Source organism: Homo sapiens, chromosome 9, assembly GCF_000001405.40.
Source record: "Homo sapiens chromosome 9, GRCh38.p14 Primary Assembly".
NCBI lineage: Eukaryota > Metazoa > Chordata > Mammalia > Primates > Hominidae > Homo > Homo sapiens.
Window position 1 is genome coordinate 132,920,790 of NC_000009.12, and position 20,919 is coordinate 132,941,708.

At 40.4% G+C, this 20,919-nt stretch overlaps 1 protein-coding gene across 49 annotated transcripts in view; it reads right to left on the reverse strand.

The window, feature by feature from the left end:
• TSC1 (TSC complex subunit 1) overlaps positions 1–20,919 on the reverse strand; it is a 54,030-nt gene that overhangs the window by 29,441 nt on the left and 3,670 nt on the right. For 21 of the 49 annotated variants that reach the window (NR_176217.1, NR_176214.1, NR_176218.1 and 18 more), the window contains exons 2-8: positions 14,244–14,306; positions 7,978–8,163; positions 6,412–6,515; positions 4,798–4,950; positions 2,559–2,703; positions 1,030–1,184; positions 574–647 (exon numbers count right to left, since the gene is read on the reverse strand). Coding sequence is in view for 39 of the 49 variants with exons in the window: in XM_011518979.3 (XP_011517281.1) it covers positions 574–647; positions 1,030–1,184; positions 2,559–2,703; positions 4,798–4,950; positions 6,412–6,515; positions 7,978–8,083 (737 nt within the window). In the remaining 10 variants the exon portion in view is untranslated. Of the gene's footprint in view, positions 1–573; positions 648–1,029; positions 1,185–2,558; positions 2,704–4,025; positions 4,151–4,797; positions 4,951–6,411; positions 6,516–7,977; positions 8,164–10,419; positions 10,639–14,243; positions 14,307–20,919 lie in introns of all 49 variants that reach the window. The other 28 variants (NR_176216.1, NM_001406625.1, NM_001406621.1 and 25 more) reach the window with 9 other exon arrangements.

Below are 20,919 nucleotides of genomic sequence, written 5' to 3' on the forward strand. Positions count from 1 at the left end.
TCTCCCTCGCTCAGTCTTACCCTCAGTTCCACTCTCCACTGTGCCTGGAATCCTTCAATCAAGGGACTCAAAGGTTCGGTTTTTCCAGAGAACATACCTGGGGGCCTCTGTAGGGCCCTGGGGAGGATGGTATAGTCAACTGGCTTTGCAGAATGGAGAAAGGACCTCAGGGACTCCAAATACTTAATATAGGACTCCCTGAAGTCCTTTCTCCATTTTGCAAAGCCAGATTTATATATATGCTAAATTGTTTTTCTGCAGTCCCCTTGTTTTTAGCCATATGCTTCACCTCCTGCATCGCCCCATCACTGGCACTACTGAGGTGTAAGCCTTTCTGGGGGACAGGCACTTGTGCTGCAACTTTCTCCACTCTGCTAAATGTTATTAGTCCTCCGCCTGTGAAGAGTATGTTTTAAACTCACACAAATTTTAGCTGTATGAGTGCTTCCAAGTGGACTGATTCTGTAAGTAGAACATCTATATTCCCAAATATACCTCAACAGGGATTACCTCCTAGATCACATTTTCAATCTCTCGAAAGATTCTTTAAAATTTTGACACTAGTTTCTATACCTTCGAGGGTCCAGTTCATGGTCCTTGGATCCAGTCACTAATTCCGGATGAATTCGCACATGCTCCATCATTGGCTAGAAGAGTTGGGTTGACAAATTATAAAGGGCTGAATGTTTGTGGAACATCCAAATGATGGAATATTAGTTGACAATTAAAAGGAATGAAGTACTGATACATGTTATAACACAGATGGAACCTTGAGAACATTATACTGAGTGAAAGAAGCCAGTCACAAAAGACCACATATTATATGATCCCATTTATACAAAATGTCCAGAATAGGCAAATCTATTAAGACAGAAAACAGATTAGTGGCTGCCTAGGGATTGGAGTGGCGAGGAAGAAAACTGAATTTCTTTTCAAAATTTCCCTGTCTGCCGTTAAATACAAAAGGTATAAATGCAGCCTATCTAAACAGTATACTAAGTAGCAAACAAACAAGCAGTTTCAATTTACCTTGACCACTTCTTCAAAAGTCTCCAGGTTTTCTTTCATACTGTAATGAGAACGCAAAAAGGAGACGAAGTTGCAAGGGTACATTCCATAAAGGCGATGAAAGAGTGCGTACACACTGGCATGGAGATGGACGAGATAGACTTCCGCCACGTGGCCTAGAAAAGGAACCCGTTGAGAAGAGCCTCTTAGTTGGAGACAGATTGAGGAGTGCAAAACAGCTATAAACAAGTGGCTGCCAGCAGGACTTTTTATCTATGTATATTCCCACCTCACTCCAAAGACAGGAAGAGTGGTTTTCTAAAATGCAAACAAATCCGAACACACCAGACACCCTTATTTCAAATCCATCAATGGCTCCCTATAAGTTTTGGATAAATTCCAGTCTACTAGTATGATCCATGAAGGCTCTTCCTGATCTAACTTCTGCCCTCCTCTTCAGCCACTGCCCAAAAAGGATCCCAAACATTCTCACAATACTGAACTATCTTTATGATGATAGCTCTCTGTAAAATTTATACTTTTCCATTGCCGAATTCAGTACGAGCTTCTTGAGAAAAAAACTGTCTTACTTATTTCTCGGTGCTTTGCACTGGACCTGATATTTAACAAGCACTCAATATTTACAGAATGAATGTGTGAGACTCTTTTAAATCAGTATGTAGTCTTAGCTATGCAGATTTATAACTACAGAGTGAAAAAAACTATTATCTAGAAATTAGCTTAAAGAACTAAGAGTGAAAGAAATTGAACATCTTAATTTAGCCTTACCTAGACCCTGTGGAAACCCACGGCCACAGTATACATAAAGGTCCTCCAAAATAATGGACAGACCATTCCTTTTTCACAAAGGTCCTACTAAACAAGCAGGCACCACGTGGGCCTATGCTTGTAATTTAATCCTATACAGGAAGGCACGGTGTTCTGTCTCACAGGTCTGACATACTTCACCCTTTTGATAGAAATACCTCACACTGGGATAACCCAAAGATTCCAAATTTCACATGCTTACAGCTTCTGATCCCTTTGATAGAGCTCTGCTACCTGCCGATAGGGGAAAAAAAAAAACCACTGCATTTGAAGCTGGAGTGCTAATCAGGACACACCGCATTTCCCTCTGACTCCTACAGGTACAACGAGTGGGTTCTCAGAATCTGACATTTGCGTTCTGTCACAACAGAGCAGCCAAGGAAGACAGAAATGTCCCACAAGCTTAGTCCTGTACTGCTGCAATACAGACGGAGGCTGTTTTTCAGTTTATCAACAATCATAAAGTTTTACATCCTACCACTCAATTTCTCTGACGACTAATCCTTTTAAGCCAAGAAAATAAAAAAAGTTATCTCAACAGTCATGTTTCTTCTATGTGCCTGTAGTGGATGCACCCAAGATATTCCCTCATCTGTCTGGTGAAAACCACTCATTTCAGCTATAAAAGTCTACATGTCCATTCCTTACAGCATATGAGCAATTAATCAATAATGAAAGCATTCACCTCACAGGGCCCAACAGGTATATGAGGAGATCTGTACCTGGTTTCTTCAGGCACCATGATGACAGACGGCCAAAAATGTCAAAGAAATCAAGAAGATGCTGTTTCCCAGACTGTGGAATCATTGGTAGCATGGTTATCAACACCAAGACGCCTGTTGTGAGGACAACGACGTCAGTGTCCATCTGCAGGAGAAAAGGTCAAACAGGAAACGTCTGTCAGGCACTGGCACCAGGATCGGCATTGTACAGTACATGAAGAGGCTCTAAACACTGAGAGAATCACAAATCACAAGTTGACTCACGTACTCATTTCCCTATCCCTAAGGATTACTGAAGGGATAACATTCAAACAGACTCAACAGAACACTGAGCCCCAACTCTACTGTAATGAGTCAGTGAGGACCATTTACAACACACCTATGCAAAGGCATCCGGGAGACGAGTTCAAACTTGACTTGGGGACACCCAAGTCCTGCAGCCTTAGGATGCCCTATTGATAGCAGTTGGATGAAAACAAAAGGAGCTGCTTTTCAACAAAACACAGGAGCACTGCTCTGTTTCATTCATTCAACCAAATCCTAAGATACTTACTTTTTGTTAATTAAAAAAAAAAAAAACTGCACATTGACAAGTAACTTACTATTTTTTAAAGAACTACAACAGAAGTATAATTGAAGGAGAAATTCATATAGCACTAACAAGTCAACTTAAAGGCTCACTTCAAAGCAGTATTTAGAGACCAGTAAATTAAAATATATATATATGGAAACCTTTCAGCACGCCTACAGTTTAAATATTAAGTCAAATAAATAACTTCAGGCTAACTGAAGACACTTAACACCCAATGGATACTCAATCAGCTCTGACTAGCTAGCTACAGCAGCTCACCTGACCCATAATTAAATCATGAATGTTTGCCAGGTAGATGAAATTCAGATTTATGAAACAAGATATTAATCAAAAGACTACTATGTAGGTTAAGACATCCATTATTCCTATTAGAATAGGAATCTATGAGTCTGGGAATAAAGTTTTAAATATATTTTGATTTTTACATCAAGCATCAAGCCTTTCATTACGGAAGATATCCAGTAAGAATAATATATTGGTAGGAGAATTGAGAATATATGAGACTATATAATGATTCTCAGCAGAAAGAACTAGCCCTGATTTCATTTTCCTAACAGTCTAACTGAAGACTTATCCATGATTAACAAAACGTACTCTTTTGGAAAAGATAAGTGTTTTGCAATCTGAACTAAATGATGTGCCTCAAAATTAGATTATATTCTCATCAATCCATTTAGATTATATTCTCACCAATCCATTTAGATTATATTCTCATCAATCCATTTAGATTATATTCTCACCAATCCATTAATTAGATTATATTCTCATCAATCCATTTGTTTAAAAAACATTAAGTTGTTAAAACTGTTCCTATTTTTTCTGAATTAAATGCATGTTTTTATAATACCCTGCCAATGTGACTCCTTGGGACCCACCTCTAGGGATAATAAAAGAGTTACCCTTCTTGGCAGACACAAAAATCAATTTGCATGGTGCTGTAGCAGATGAATCCAATGGTACTGCCATCCTGGAACAAATACTATTGGATATTTTCATGTCTCTGTGAGGTACAGGCAGTTAATATTAACCACATTTTCTTATTTTATAGATAGAAAACAAGTCCAGGAACTAAAACAGATTAAACAAATAACCCTGAGTATGGCTGCACGCCACTGTTAAAACTAAAACCATAAAGTTCTATTTAGATTTTGACTCCCTATATAGAAAAATGCACTAAATTTAGTGCAAAAAATAGAATGCAACTTAGTAGAATTTACATCAACAAAGTCTTAATTATAGCTGCAACCAGACCATACTCCTAAATGGTTAACAGAAACTTTAAGCCATTTTTCTATTAGCTAAAAGATAATTTAGAAACAGGGATTCCCAAAAGATAATCCAGGATGTTTTTAAATGAGGGAAGGCTAAACGATGACGAAATCAAGAGGTTTGGAATAATGTAACATTGAACCCATCTGATCGAAATTTTTCCATACTTGCATGGACAAGGTATTCAATAGTCATAGTGATGTATTTGAGAACTTACTAAGTACCAACTCTGGACAACATTCTATTTGAGAAAAGCCAAATGCCTAGAAGGTTTTAAACTCTAAAAGTTAAAATCTAGCTTCCTTGCTTTAAGTTGCCTAAAATTTCAGAAACTATACTCATAAAACCATTTCATTCAAATCCTTACAAACATCCTACCTTGAGACATTTTAGTAAAGAAGGCAAAAGAGGTGCTTGAGAGAGCTTATGCTTCCAAGATGGCTGCAGTCTTATGACATGACCCAGTAACGAGAGGATGGATAAACGAGTGGCGGCTTTGCCCACATATTCGTTAATCCTGTCCAAGAGGTGCTGAAAATGTAAAAGAACAAGGGCAGTCCTCACATGAATGTATGAAGTTAACACAAATAAAGACAGCAATGATGTGCTCCAATCTCTCAAGTCTTGTCTCTAATGTAAAGCAAGGGTCATGCAGATAAAAGGTCAAATTCAAGATTTTAAAAACCACGTTAGCAAACAAAACACTGCTGCATTTGGCCTGACAAAAGGCAGCCAGTTTGCAGCTCATGAAAAAGGACCCTACAATACACGCATGCAGAAAGGGGGAGACTTGTTCACAGCCCCTCAATAACCAACAGTCCCAAACTGTGATAGGTTACTGAAGCCATGAGGGGATCCTGCTGGAAGCAGCCACTTATTGCTAGAGCAACCCAGCCTACATGGTTTGGCCTCAAGTATCAATTAGGTAGTAGAAGTTACATTTCAGACCAGAGTAAACAAAAAAACAAGACGGGCCAGGCGCAGTGGCTCATGCCGGCAATCCCTGCACTTTGGGAGGCTGAGGCAGGAGGATAGCTTGAGGCCAGGAGTTCAAGGTTACAGTGAGCTATGATTGTGCCACCACGCTCCAGTCTAGGGAACACAATGAGACCTCACCTCTTTAGAAAACAAAACAAAACAAGATGTACTGTAAAAGGCATGCAATACAAGGTCTTCAAATCCTGGGGAAGTTGCTCTCATATATACACTTAAGACTTACCAAAGTCTGCAATAACAATGCTTTATTAGCTACTTACTAAAAACAAAAGGAAAACATGAAGGAGCCCTCCAAGTGCCGGGTGCTAGGAAACAAGACTCATTAATTTGTCATGTTAGTCCTTTGTACTTGAAGCTTTTCCATATCGATAAAAGTCTAAAAATTCTATTCAAAGTATGGGTTGAAAGATGGGTACCTATGGGCCAAATCATCACTATACAATTATAGTACTGGAAATGTAAGATTTCTTTAAACAAGATCTTTTTTTTTTTTGAGACAGTTTCACTCTTGTTGCCCTGGAGTGCAATGGTGCAATCTCAGGTCACTGCAACCTCCGCCTCCCAGGTTCAAGCGATTCTCCTGCCTCAGCTTCCTGAGTAGCTGAGATTATAGGTGTCCACCACCACGCCCAGCTAATTTTTTGTATTTTTTAGTAGAGACGGGGTTTCACTGTGTTGGCCAGGCTGGTCTCAAACTCGTGACCTCAGGCAATCCACCCGCCTCGGCCTCCTAAGGGGATTACAGGCGTGAGCCACCACACCCGGCCCAAACAAGATCTTTAACAGTCTCTGAAATATGTTTTATTTTGTAAACTTTTCAAGAATCATGGGTCCTACAAAGTAATTTTTATATGTAGTTATAAACTGGGAACAATGTCATCAGTGGCGCACAGAAATCAAAAGAATAAGCTCAGGACAAGTTGCACAGTGGCCGTGCACAGAAGCTGTTGTACTCATGAAGAACATATGAAATGCCTATGATATTTCAGCCATTACCTTGTCATGTGGCTCTTGCAAGGTGGTCAGGATGTGCAATGCCGGCTGAGAGCTGGTTTCCAGGTAATAATCCACCAAGGTGTTTACAAGCATAGGGCCACGGTCTAAATCAAGAAAAGGGCAATGGATGATACTTATTCCCCTTAACATCCTAAATTTACCTTACACAGCTTCCTGTCACAAAATCCAGAAAATGTTTCTTTATATGCTATTCTAAGTTTTGTGCAGCATTACAGTTCTGCCTTCTTAATTTAATAATAAGATATTCCAAGCTTATTTGCCTAAATATGCATAAAAACATATGAAGTCATTTTTATTGCCTTTTTTTTTTTTTTTTTTTTGAGATGGAGTCTCACTCTGTTGCCAGGCTGGAGTGCAGTGGCACAATCTCAGCTCACTGCAACCTCTGCCTCCTGGGTTCAAGCAATTCTCGTGCCTCAGCCTCCCAAGTAGCTAGCTGGGATTACAGGCACCTGCCACCACGCCTGGCTAATTTTTGTATTTTTACTAGAGATGGGGTTTCACCACATTGGCCAACATGGTCTCAATCTCCTGACCTTGTGATCCGCCCGCCTCGGCCTCCCCAAGTGCTGGGATTACAGGCGTGAGCCGCCACACCTGGCCCTTTATTGCTTTTTTAATTACAAAAAATAATCCATATCTACTGTTAAACATTCAGGCTATGTAAAAGTACATAAAATAAAAATGAAAGTGCTCCTCACCACCTGCCTCCCAACCCACTCTTCACAGATAAACACCCTTAAGTTTAGAGTGTGTCTCTTCAAACCCTTTTCTACTTGTATAACCACACGCACACAGCCCTCATGTCCACAGACACAGACACAGTTTGTGCATGTGTGTGTTTTTTCCACTGAACAGTATGTTGTAACCACCTTCCCACGTCAGCATCTATGGCCTATTTCATTTCTTTCCGTCCTCCTAGTGTTCCACTGCATGGCTCTACATAACTAATTTAACCATTCACCTACTGAAGGATACTTGGGTTTTTCCAATTCTTCACTGTATTTCACTCAAAGCTGTAATAAGATACAGATTCTTATAAATGGCCCAAATGGTATGTGTTTTAAAATTGATGACTGATGCTCCAAAAGGCTGAACATCAATTCATATTCCTGCTAACAGTGCCCATTTCTATATTCAATATTTAATTTTGCCAACCTGGTAAGCAAAAAAGGGTACTATTTAAATTTGTATTTCTCATATTAAAAAGAGGTTAAGCACTTTTCATATTAAAAACCACATATATGATTTACAGTTAAAGCAACATCTGGAATTTGCTTTAAAATATTTGGAGGGTGGGAGAGTCAGGGAGGAAAGAATTTGAAACTGGATTCATGGGGTTCACTGCATGATTCTTACTTCATGTGTGTGCATACTTGAGTATTTCCATAATTGAAAGTTTAAAACACATATAGATACTCTCTTTGGGTGTTTAAAAAACTTTTCAGAAGATGAAAACTAAAATGTATCAGCAGGATTCTAGTGGCTCTAAAGTCAATCTCTTCTTTCTAGAAGATAAGCTAAAAAGGATATTATTTTGCTAACCAGAATTGAGGTTCTCTTTAAAGACAGCTGTCACGTCGTCCCGCACACCCAGCATGGGGGAGTCCAGCATGGCAAGAAGCTCCCCGACATTTGCTTGTTGGGCCATTCTCTCGCTCGAAGGCGCTGTGCTGGCTCCAGGACGTGTGCTACAGGTTCTGAAGGTTCTTCATTGGGGCCACTACCAAACTGAGAAAAAGGAAGATGAACAGTCACTAAATGGCCCCATTTTTCTCCATAAAAAAAGAAAATACCTGCAAGACAAACTAATGCACGTGTTCAATGCAATGGAAAGTTTGGCCAGAATTCTCTGATTCAAACAGTGAGTACATTTAGCTGATAAAAGAAGATAAAGTGTATGAATAATTCTTTGGCGAGTTTATGAAGAGGGTTTCTACAAAATATAACAATCAGAAAGAAACCTTAAAAACTGATACCAGTCACAGCAACTTAATGATAGGATCAAATCTAAGTTTTATTCCTACTTCTGATTCTACCTTGGGTTTTGGCTAAGACCACATTTATATTTCAAATTATTGATCTAAAAAGCAGACAGTCTTTTTTCAGCAAAAGAACTAAATACATACTATTTCCTTCTTGACAGTCTCATCAATGGCTAAGAGTTAGTATAGCTGGTTAGGTCACAAGTCTGTTAAGTCCAACATCTAGCATAAACTGGGGATCATTTCTCTGTTTTAGCATATACCTCTCATCTGAGACATCTAATTGCACACCCAAATACCACTGGCTACAGGGAGGTATCCATAGATGGGATCATCAGGGCAAATCTTCAAAAACTCACCCTTCAAAACCCAAGCTCTCTATGGTAGTAGAGCAGCTGCTTTATCTTGATATACAAAAAGCAGCTCATTCCCAAGTGTAACTATACACATTTACGATTTCTCCCCCACTTTGATCTCTGAGGCTATATTTGTTAAAACAAGTAACAACAGTTATCATTCATAAGCACTGTACACCTTTCACAAACATCATTGTATATACTCCTAATATGACCACCATGTAATTGGCACTTTTGTCCCCATTGTACAGGGAGCAGAATGGAGATCAAGCCATTTGTTCTGGGTCACAAAGCTAGCAAGAGGCAAAACCAGAGGAGAAAAACTGATATTGGAAGCTAGGTATGCCCGACTCCAAAGCCCCAAGCCCTTAAGTGTCACACTAAGCTAACCTGTGGTTTTGATCATCACAGCAAGTCTGTGATGTGATGTGATGTGGTGTGAGCAGGTATCATCCTTATTTTACACATGGGGATATGCATGCCCAAAAAGGATAACACTTCCTTTTCTTTCAGTAAGTGTAAGTAGCAGTTCTTAAGCTTCAATGTGCATCGAAACCACCTGGGATACTTGCTAGAAATGCAATACCTGGGCCCCTTCCAAAACTGTATTTTGGGCTCAGGAATCTATATTTTAATAAGCACTCCAGGTAATTCTTAAAGTGAGACACAAATTATTTTTGAGAAACACTATGATAAAGAAAAATCCAACTAAAGAGTTAAGCTGAGGCCGGATGTAGTGGCTGAGGCCAGGCATGGTGGCTCACGCTTGTAATCCCAGCATAATGGGAGGCCGAGGCAGGCAGATCACCTAAGGTCAAGAGTTCGAGACCAACCTGGCCAACATGGTGAAGCCCCGTCTCTACTAAAAATACAAAAATTAGCTGGTGTGGTGGCGTGTGCCTGTAGTCCCACCTACTCAGGAGGCTGAGGCAGGAGAATCACTTGAGCCTGGGAGACGGAGGTTGCAGTGAGTCAAGGTCATGCCACTGCACTCTAGCCTGGGCAACAAAGCAAGACTCTGCCTCAAAAAAAAAAAAAAAAAAAAAAAAAGAGAGAGATAAGCTCCTTCTGCAAGAATGCCAAATTTAAATTAGCCATGACCCCAAAAACTGCCAGGTATTAACTTGCTATCATCTATATTCTTATTTAATTACAATCTTGTGACATTCACTGATTTTGGCTCTTAGTAAGTTAGAAGTTCATTTATCAGAAAAATCAATTAAAATGTCTAAATGCCTTTTTGATACCATGATATAGGAAGTTGCTGACTCATATCTATAAATAAAAATCTTACAAGTAAATCACATAGGAAGTTAATTTCAAAGGGCTCCAAAATGTGAGACCACCGTTGGTAAGATTCTACCGTAAAAGTTCAAAACCAAAAAGCGATTAGTATGGTATCAGGTACATATAAACACTCGCTGCATAGTACCTGTATATTATCATAAAAAATACCAGTAAAAATCTTTGGGCCACCACTTTCAAGATGACTTTTTAATGGCACACTTGTCTAGCTAACCCCCACATTGATTTCTGCTTCAGGTAAATCACAAATGATTCTCAATTAGTGACAAAGAATGTTGTTCATAAATTTAAAAGTATCTTGTCCCTAAGTTTGGTTTTGTTTCAATAAAATTGTTACTTACCTACTATTTGTCTAGGGAGACTCTGAGTTTGCCTTCTGTGTAGTCAGAAGACGATAATGTCATATCTGGTCCTCCAAATGCAGGCAGCCCCAGAGCCCGGAGTGACATGAGCTCAATTTTAAACAAAGATGGCGCCCATCCAGTCAACTTGGCGATAGTGTGGGCTAATCAGCTTGGGCCACCTAGCTTGTTTTTCCATTTGCAAAGTAAGGTTTTATTCTAAAACACATTAGAAACACGTTTTGGCAACAAGTTTTTCTCTCTGGTTCCAAAATCCTACTGTCGGCCGCGTTGGTGGTATAGTGGTGAGCATAGCTGCCTTCCAAAATTCTACTGTTTACCATAGTTTTTAATCTCCAGGAAAAATATAAACATTGGGTTTTATGTGAGATTCTTCGCATAAGTGGCTCAAGTTCAAGCATTTTTGACATTCTAAAAAGCCCTCCTAAGAGTTAAATCATAGCTTTTGGAATCAGTCCCACAACTAGAATATCTCCTTTTTAAGCACATTCAAACATTTGAGGGTCTACAGTAAGTGCAAGGTGTTAAGCAGGTAAAACAGATTTAGCCAGTGCAATGAAGAATTAAATGTTTTATAGCAGAAAAAAAGACATGGTTCAATATGTGTACAAAAAAGGGGAAGAAACCAGCCCTACATGGACTCAGTCAGGGGTGGTGGTAGTGGTGGATGAAATATACACATGTTAAACACACTTTACAGCCTATAGAAGACTGGCTGAGAAAAGTCAATTAAAGATTAGCACCACAGACACAAGGAAGCATCAGTGTGTTAGCCACAAAAGTCTCTAGCCATAAGTCTCTTTTCCATTTTGGAAGTAACTCACCATAGAAAATAGCCATACAGGAGAAGTTAAAAGACAGCAACTGGGTGAATGGATTTCTGTATCGTACATGCTAAAGCAATATTCCATTTAGTTTAATATTATCTTTAGTGGCCACATACAGTGCACAGTACAGTGCTGTAGATGATGCTAGTCATATTCAGAGGGCATGACCTTCAAGGCCAATCTCCACTCCAAAATCCATCACTCTGCCATCTTCTGGATCTCAGTAAAAGGCACTACCATCAGTCTAAAGCAAACACCCAGGTGACTCCTTGACTCTTTCACCACCCCCACCACCACATCTAATCCATCAGCAAACCCTTTGCTATCACCTCAGTCGAAGCCCGCATCATCTCTCAGAGACAAGGGAGCAGCAGCCCCCCTCACTACTCTCCTTGCTTGTATTCATGCTACCCTACAAAATTCATTTGCCTCCAAATAACCACAAGAGACATTGAGATATAAACATCAGAATCTCACTCCTCTGTTTAAAATCATCCAATGGCTTCCCATGGAATTAATAAGAGCCAATAACATTATGGAACTTATGAAACTCATGAGTAGCCTACAAGGCCTCATAAGATCCAGCCAGTTATTAACCTCCCAACCCCCCTCTGCCTCTTCATTCCTCTGCTCTAGTCCCAGTCTTCCCAAACACAGGAATACTGGTTCTTTCTTGCTCAAGGCCTTTGCACTTGCTGTTCCCTCTATGCATGAAACACTCTTCTCCCACATCCTTGCACAGCTGACGGTCTCGCAGATATCTGATGGGCCTCCCCTGACCACCCAATCTAAAGCAGCAGGGAGGTTCTCAGTCATCACTTTTCAATAAAAGATACTTTGTAATTCATGAGAAACCTTGAACTAAGTTTAAACTATACAACTAGTAGCCAGATTTGATCCAATGATACTTATGATCTCAAAAAACATGGAAAGCAGGGATCTGCCAAAGTTCAGTTTCAGTCTCTATACTCAGCCAAAATCTGGTGGCTGTCTGGCTTTGGCTTTGGTGTTTTGTTTGTTTTTAATTGAGACAGAGTCTCGCTCCATCACTCAGGCTGCAGTGCAATGGCACAATCTTGGCCCACTGCAACCTCCATCTCCTGGGTTCAAGTGATTCTCCTGCCTCAGCCTCCCGAGTAGCTGAGATTATAGGCGCACACCACCATGCCTGGCTAATTTTTGTATTTTTCGTAGAGATGGGGTTTTACCATGTTGGCCAGGCTGGTCTCGAACTCCTGACCTCATGTGATCCTCCCACCTTGGCCTCCCAAAGTGCTGGGATTACGGGTGTGAGCCACCACACCTGGCCAAAAATGTCTTAAAAATGAGGACAAAAGTATAAACAAGAGTACCCCATGAAAAAAGAAAAATGCTATTAAAAGCTGGGGTTTTTTTTGTTTCAAAATAAGAATAATTGCTAAAGGCGGCCAACAATTTTTAGTAATTGAAGAGTAAGGATCTTTGAGGCTTGCCAAGCTATGAATCCCAGGTACAAGGTTCCTTCCAGAAAACCATCTACCAGAAACTTTCCTGAATTCTGCTTTGTCCAAAAATGTTACCAATGACGCTGTGTGCCAGTTGAGATGATACTACACATGTGACATAGTGACCACAGGAGTAACCTAGCAGCCGGTAGTGCCCACAAAGTATTTTTCCTATATTAAAATTCCAAACTTCTAAAATCTGACTACTAAAATGCAATACAATTACTATCGTGAAAAATGTTTAATAAAATTTGAGATTTACTTTTGTATCCCAGAATTTACATTTTATGATGGTGATATTTAGCTTGGGGACCTCAATGATCTGAACACTTAACCATTTGACTTTGGGTTCAAATTCATATACAGTGGACTTCTAAAAAAGGAACAGTATGAAGTATACACAAAAACACTGAAAATGAAAAATCAAACTCAGAAAACTTTCCCTACTTGAGAACAATACTTAACTTTCGACAGTCTACAATTTGTATCAAGACCCTACTTATGAACCAATGTAGAGCTGTAAGACAAAAATCCCTACCTTATTTTACAATTCCTACGACAGAGGTGAGGCAGACAGTGACAGAATACACTAAACAGCAACCACTGAGCCTCGGCATGAGTCACAGAGCTGTCCATGTACAAAGACAGCAGACCAAGCACCTCCCGTCTTCCCTACACCCTTCCTATACACAGCTCTGTTGCGCTTGGCACTATTACTGCTAAACCAAAATTACAGTTCAGTGATCAGTTAAGTCACTAAGAGGAAATTCCATCCGTGGAAATGCCGGCGCCTCAACATTTATGAAGGATATATTCTGAGACAGGATCATCCAATTCCTAAAAACTACTATAGCATATAATTTATCCCCCAAAATTAATTTAAAGCAACAGATATAGCCATGTTAAGATGCAAATGCTCACTCACCAGCTCAAGGGTTCTCAGCCCAGGATGTACATCAGAATCACCTGGAGAGCTTACAGAAACTCTGGAGCAGGTTAACTAAGGGATGGAATCCGGACATCACATTTGGTTTGTTTTTATAAACCCATGCAGATTTCTCAGGTGCAGCCAGGGTTAAGAACGTCTGCACTAGTTAAATGACTTGTGCCAGCACACAGGCTTTAATTGAATGAAGTGGTCACAACCAAACTTTGCTGCTAAACAGAGCTGAATTGAGTCCACTAAGTACCAGCTATGCATCTTTAGGAAAATTGACATGTTTGAACCCGAATCCTCACCTGTAAAATGGGGAAACACCAAAAGCGTGGCTGTGAAGAAGAAAGTAACGCATATAATGCGCTTTGCACAGTGTCAGGCACTGAATACAAGCAACTAATAATCATCAGTAATGTGACTAATCCCTTCATGCCATAGATGGTCCAGTTCCTGGCAAGTAGCTAAAACTGTAAATGTTAAATCCCTGAATGCACGACCATGGGCAAGATAATTCCCTCCCATCTTCCTCTAACCACTGGCCTGGTTATAGCTTACCTGTTCTAGCGACAACTGGTACTTCAGTTTCCAGTGCTGTCAACCTGGTGTCTTTCATGGTCACTGAAGGAAGAAAACATATGTACAATGAAGCAAAATCCCAGATGTAATCAAAAGCGGGTTAGGGGTTCATCTGGCACAAGCTTCTTCCTCCTCTATCCCTGACAGGTGGCCACCACGTTTCCACTGGAATGAACACTCATAATCATTGGAAGCACGTGCCTCTCCCCGTCTACATTTCTGAACAGCTGGTTGCTGGAAAATTCTTTATATTGTGCTGAACTTGTAATCTCTGTCTTTTGTTAATGTCTGTTAGAGGTATAAATGAATGGGCAGGATAGGCCCTAGAATTAGAGAGTTCCGGGTTAAAATCCAAGCTCTGCAACTTATTAGCTGTGTAACATTTAGCTATTTATCTTAAGTCTCCAATGTCTAACCGTAAGTTACCTCGTCTGTAAAGTTAGAATAATGATGGCATCAAGCTCACAAGGCTTGTGGGGATTACATGAGATGATGCATTCCATTGCCCTCGGCACAGCACGGGGCACACCGAAGTTACTGGAGGAGCCATGTGAGGCAGGTCCAGGACAGTGAGAGGCACAAAGCACTGAGTGGGCCTGCAGGGCCTCACCGCCTGCCACAGTCCCCACAGTCCTCACCCCTCCCCAACCCTCCCCACCACCTTGACTCACTGGCCTTTCAGTTCCTTGGCTAAGCCACATGCTCCCCATTCCTGAGCCTAAGAGAGTCTACCTTTGGCTCCTCCTAAACTCACTCTTCATCCTTAAAATCTCAGCTTAAATGCTCACTTCCTCAGAGAAGACCTCCTAGGCCTCTACTTGCCTCCCACTTCCACCTTCCAGACTAGGTCAGGTCCCCTGTTATACTCTTGCAGCCTATATTTCTTGTGTCACTTACCACAACCCAATTAAATAAGCTTGATTGATTACTGAACATGCCTCCTTCACTAGGAGTTATATCCAGGGAGAGACCGCAGCTTACTCAGTACTGTATTTCAAGCAGCTACCATGCTGTCTGGCACTTCTTGATTGAATGACTAGAAGTTAAAATCTTTTCTTTTTCTTTCTTTCTCTCTTTCTTTTTTAGAGACAGGGTCTCACTCTTAGGCTAGAGTACAGTGGAGCCATCATAGCTCACTGCAACCTCAAACTCCTAGGCTCAAGTGATCCTCCCACCTCAGCCTCCCGAGTAGCTAGGAATACAGATGCACTCCACCAGGCCCGACTAATCGGTTTCTTTTAGTTTTAAAGATGGGGTCTCACTATGTTGCCCAGGCTGTTCCCAAACTCCTAGCCTCACGCAATCCTCCCACCAAGGCCTCCCAAGGTGCTAGTATTACAGACGTGAGCCACTGCACCTGGCCAGTATTTCTTAAATAAATGTGCAAAGCCTAATTCTGCCTTCAGGCAGCATGACTTAAGTTTACTACAAAAGAGACATAAAATGTTTGTGAACAGCTATCATTTTTCTATTTTCTTCCCCCTTTTACCCTACTTTCTGTCCAAATTAACTTGTATTAAATATCCATGCTAAATGAGTATATATAAATACATTTTTGTTTGCTTTTAAAATATGGGTCCTTCAAACTATATTTAGGTACAATCTGATCACTAGATGGTAAACTCCATGAGGACAGGAACCATCTGGGACACCTAGGGCCTATCCTGGCACCTGGCACACAAGAGGCAAAAACACCCTGCTCAGAACTGGTAAGATTTAATCAGCTTCTTTGGCAGCCATTCCAGAGTTGAATAGAGTATGAAAGCTGAGCCTCATATACTATGGACACCTAATTACCCTAAACATGGAAAAAACTTGAACCAAGTTCTTAAATGTACGACCATGGCCAAAGTCAAACTAGTGGACTGAGGAACTCTCTAACAATTAAAATCGCTTGTTCCAGATGACAGAGTAATTATATTTCCACGTGGAACACATTCCAGACATTAAACTCCACTGGTCTCTTCAGTGGCACCTGCAAGCCTGTGAACAGTGCTGCAGGCAGGCTGGCCCTCCAGAAAAGAGGGATCATACCATTCTGACAGGGAGTGCTTGCCTGGCCACACTCACTGCAAGTCACAGGGCTTGAATTAAAGTGCAGGAGCCCAGGCCAGGTGTGGTGGCTCACGCCTGTAATCCCAGCACTTTGGGAGGCCAAGGTGGGCGGATCACCTGGCGTCGGGAGTTTGAGACCAACCTAACCAACATGGAGAAACCCCATCTCTACTGAAAATACAAAACTAGCCAGGCGTGGTGGCACATGCCTGTAATCCCAGCTACTCGGGAGGCTAAGGCAGGAGAATCACTTGAACCCAGGAGGTGGAGGTTGCAATGAGTCGAGATAGTGCCACTGCACTCCAGCCTGGGCAACAAGAGCAAAACTCCGTTTCAAAATAAATACATAAATAAATAAAGTGCAAGAGCCTCTAATCTTAAAATCAGAATCTTAAAATAAGCAGTTAGTCCAGTGAGTCATATAGACTTCCTCTTGCGACTAATCCCGGTTGGACATTTTACCTGAAAAGAAATATCTAAGGCAAGGGTAAAATTAGGATCTACGCTAGATGAGATCCTGTAGACTGCCCAGCCACAACCCATCCTACATAAAGGCCCTACTCTAGGAAAGCAGAGTGGTTTTGTTGTTGGTGGTTGGTTTTTTTGTTTTGTTTTTTGAGATAGAGCCCTGCTCTGTCGCTCAGGCTGGAGTTCAGTGGCCTAATCATGACTCATGGTTCACTGCGACCTTCGCCTCCCAGGCTCAAGCAATCATCCCACCTCAACCTCCCAAGTAGCTGGGAATACAGGCACGCACCACCATGCCCAACTAATTTTTGTATTTTTTTGTAGAGACAGGGTCTCCCTAAGTCGCCCAGGCTGGTCTAGAACTCCTGGACTCAAGTGATCCATCCACCTTGGCCTCCCATAGTGCTGGGGTTACAGGCGTGAGCCCCCACCCCCTGCCAAGCAGAGTGTTTTTGTCCAATGCTCAATGTTAAGACTTTTAATTTCTTTATTACTGCACTAAAAATGATAATGGTACTAAATTGGTAGCAATTTTATGTTGGTATGTCAAAGGCTACCTACTATTCTACTCTTATTTATATTTTTAAGTGTTTATTGACTTATTCATTTGTATTTCAATCCTGTCCTATGGGGGTACTACAAGGCATAATCACTCTGGTCAGTAAAGTGAGATGTGATCTGTGAACCTCCTGAGGGGAAGGGAGGAATGCAGATGGAAACACCTGGCAGAGCAGAACACCAGTGTCAATCCACGTCCTTATCTTCGAAAGCCAAATTTAAAAAGAAACCTGCCTCCAGATCTAGACTTTTTTCCCTTTCATATTTGACCCAAAAGTTGTGTTCTCACTTATGTTCATCATTATAACTTCACTTCTATAAGCAATCTTTCTGAATAAAATGTAGGTTTGAGGAAGAAGATAAGGGCTCTGTGTTTAAGTATTTTGAGATGAAACAGAAGGCACATAGATCAATCTGTTTTCACTGTTCATCTTAACTAATATCATTCTTTAGGTGTTTACAGACGGATGGCTTATATGCCTAGGATTACACATGAACTCTAGCCTAACAGCCATGGACAGCTGTCATTAGCAGGACCCGTACGCCATTTTTTTCACATATCTCTGCCCTAGCCAAGATGCATTATGAGCTGTGAGAGAGCCAAGAGTACACACAAACCTTTTGAAAATACTAGTGGCAGATACCTAAGATGTCTTTAGAATGGATTTATCTGAAATTACAGGTGAATATTCGAATTTTTCAAAAACAAGTGCTGTGATATGTGGCCTAGACACTACCCTCTACGACTCCTCAGGACTGTATGTAACATAAAATAGGTGACCGCATATCAATTTGCCTAAGATAATTTTGTACACATTTGTCTATGATGTAAAAATGTACTGCATGTGTAAATGAAGGCAGATGTCTCTTCACTATAACTTGTTTCCTATATTCAATTTTTTATCCATAAAAATTCAAGGACAATTCAGACACAGGTCCAGGCATGGATAGACTATTTTATTATCAGGTACAGTTAGATAGAGCAGAAATGTTACACTGTTAAGTTAATGTTCCGCTCTGGCTCAGGAACTCTCAGGTGACTTCTTAGGGTAATATTCTATCAAGTGAACCAAGACGCCTTCAGCACAAATGCATCTAAAAAGGGTAAGATACTTGCTCCCATTCTCTCTTCCTATCAGTGCCTAGAAGGAAGGAAAAAAGGGTAGGAAATAACTACTTACTATGTGAGAGTAAAACAGCTGATGGTAAAACCTGCCAACATGTGTAGTCATGTGTGATTGAATAGGTCTTAGTAGTTGGAGTCCCTCTCAAGGACAAACTGGGGCAGGAGAGCTCCAACTTGCCAGATTCTCCATTCAGAATTTCTGCCATCAGGGGCCTTGATGGATGGTTTGCTAAAGCTTATAGCCTATCCCAAAGGTGAAGAATCTTCTAGTAACTTAAGTGTAAGGCCAGAGCTTAATTTTGGTAAGGCGTATCTCTTCAATAAATAATGCTTACGTTTTGACTTTCTATTAACATGAACAACATTATTTACTAAGATAATACAGGCCAAACAGATACCATGTATATTTCAAAAAGACACTACGCAGAGCTTCTCCTAAAAGAGATACAAGCAAACTGTGAGATATCTTTAGGTTTCAGGTTTATAGGACCAAAATAGAAGTATTCTAGGGAAGAAGGGTATAGTTTGATAGTCTAGGGCAGTGGTTCTCAAAATGTGGTCCTGGCACCACGAGCAGGAGCCTGGGTATTTGTTAGAAATGTAAATTCTCAGGCCTTTCACTAGATCTCGGAATTGGATACTTTGGGGGTGGGGCCTTCTAGGTAATTCTGACGTCCACTAAAGGTTCAGAACCACTGGTCTAGGAAAAAGAAGGATGAAGGTAAAAAACATTCATTCATTAATATACCTCCTTTGAGGTTCAAAAGGAAAAAAATATATAGAGTGCATAAACCTTGGGGAAAAGGCCCAGTGGAATTCTGCCAGGTGCTAAAGGTACCAGCACAGACCGAATGCCAAGCCTGACAAGCACGTAGCAGGTTACATACCTGGGTACACTACAGAAATTTAACAAAGTAATTTATAACCCAGACAGTACATAAGGCCACCTTCTGACTTGGGCCTTTCCTGACTACTAGTTAAAAAAAAAAAAAAGTTTTTTAATAAAGCCTAAGTCCATTTTTAGAGCAGTAATCTATCTAAAATGATCAGCTGGGTTTCAAGCTGCGTCCATAAATTACCTGAAGCCATATCCAAAATCCCATGTCTGTATGAATTTTTTTGGTGATGATGGGACATAAAGGGTAGAAGAGAAATTTGGTCCATAGCTTCCCACAGATTTTCAGAGGGCAACTGAGTCCACACACCTTCCCACCACCACCAAAGTTAAGAACCACTGACCTGACCTGTGAGTTAATTTATGAGGTCAGCAGATGAAGCAGTTTATCACAGTGGAAGACTAAATGTTTGGGCTGTGGAGTCAACCAAAAAGGTTCATATCCCAGCTTAGCCACTGAATAAGTGACTATAGGCAACTTACTCTAAGCCTGCTTCCTCTTCCTATCCTGCCTCTTAAGGCTGTAAGAAGTTAATGGGGTATCAGACATGTAAAATACCACAGTGTTTGGCACATGAGTACTCAAAAAATATAAACTTTATTATAACAATATTACTACTTCACAAAAATGGATTGCTGGGTACATAATGCTTAGCAGTCTATCCATTTAACAACTGGTATTTGAAACATTGATACAACCATTGTATAACTTAAAATGGATACAGTTCAAGTTTGTTACTATGCTCTGTGAACTACTCAAAGTAGCAGAGTCTTAATGATTGCAGACATTAAGGTCACTGCCTCTGTTCTTCCTACAGCTCCCCTCTGTGTCTTCCATCACATCACCCACAGAAGGGCAAAACTGTCCTTTGTTACTCCAACACTTCTGGGCCTCTACTGCCATCATATTTACTTAAGAGAGTGACCTGTGAGTTGTAGGGCAGTAACTACTATGCTTTATTTTGGACTAAAGCATGGTTTTTAAGACATTTTACTTATTAGATGTAAATCTGAATTCATTCAACCGTAAAAAGTATTGTTATCTTTTGCTGATTCCATGTTCATAATAAAAGTTAGCACTGAACGAGAGAAAGGACAAGAAGAAACTGACAAGGTCCTGAGACAGTGTATTTTATACACAGTATATAAAATTTGCATTTTTATTCTCTCCCATGAAAACAGACATAAAGTTACTAATTTCTAGCAACTACAGTCTTAAAAAGTAAACCAGAGAAAGAATAATCTCAAACTGCTGACAGTTTACCTCTTTCAGATGAATTTAAATGGAGAATGAGTATTTCATGCTACCCAAATTATATTAGTTACCAATTCATGATCTGAGATTAAAAAAAACAAACTCAGTGTTTGAGTGTATACTACATATACACATTTCAAGCAAACAGCCACAGATTTTAACGCTATTAAGTACACTTTTCTTTCACGCCTTCAGCTACTTAAATGACAAAACCAATGCAAAGACTAACCTTTCAGAGATTTATAATATGGGAAACTTATAGGGAATTACCTTTTCAAAGAGTATTATGATGTAAAGG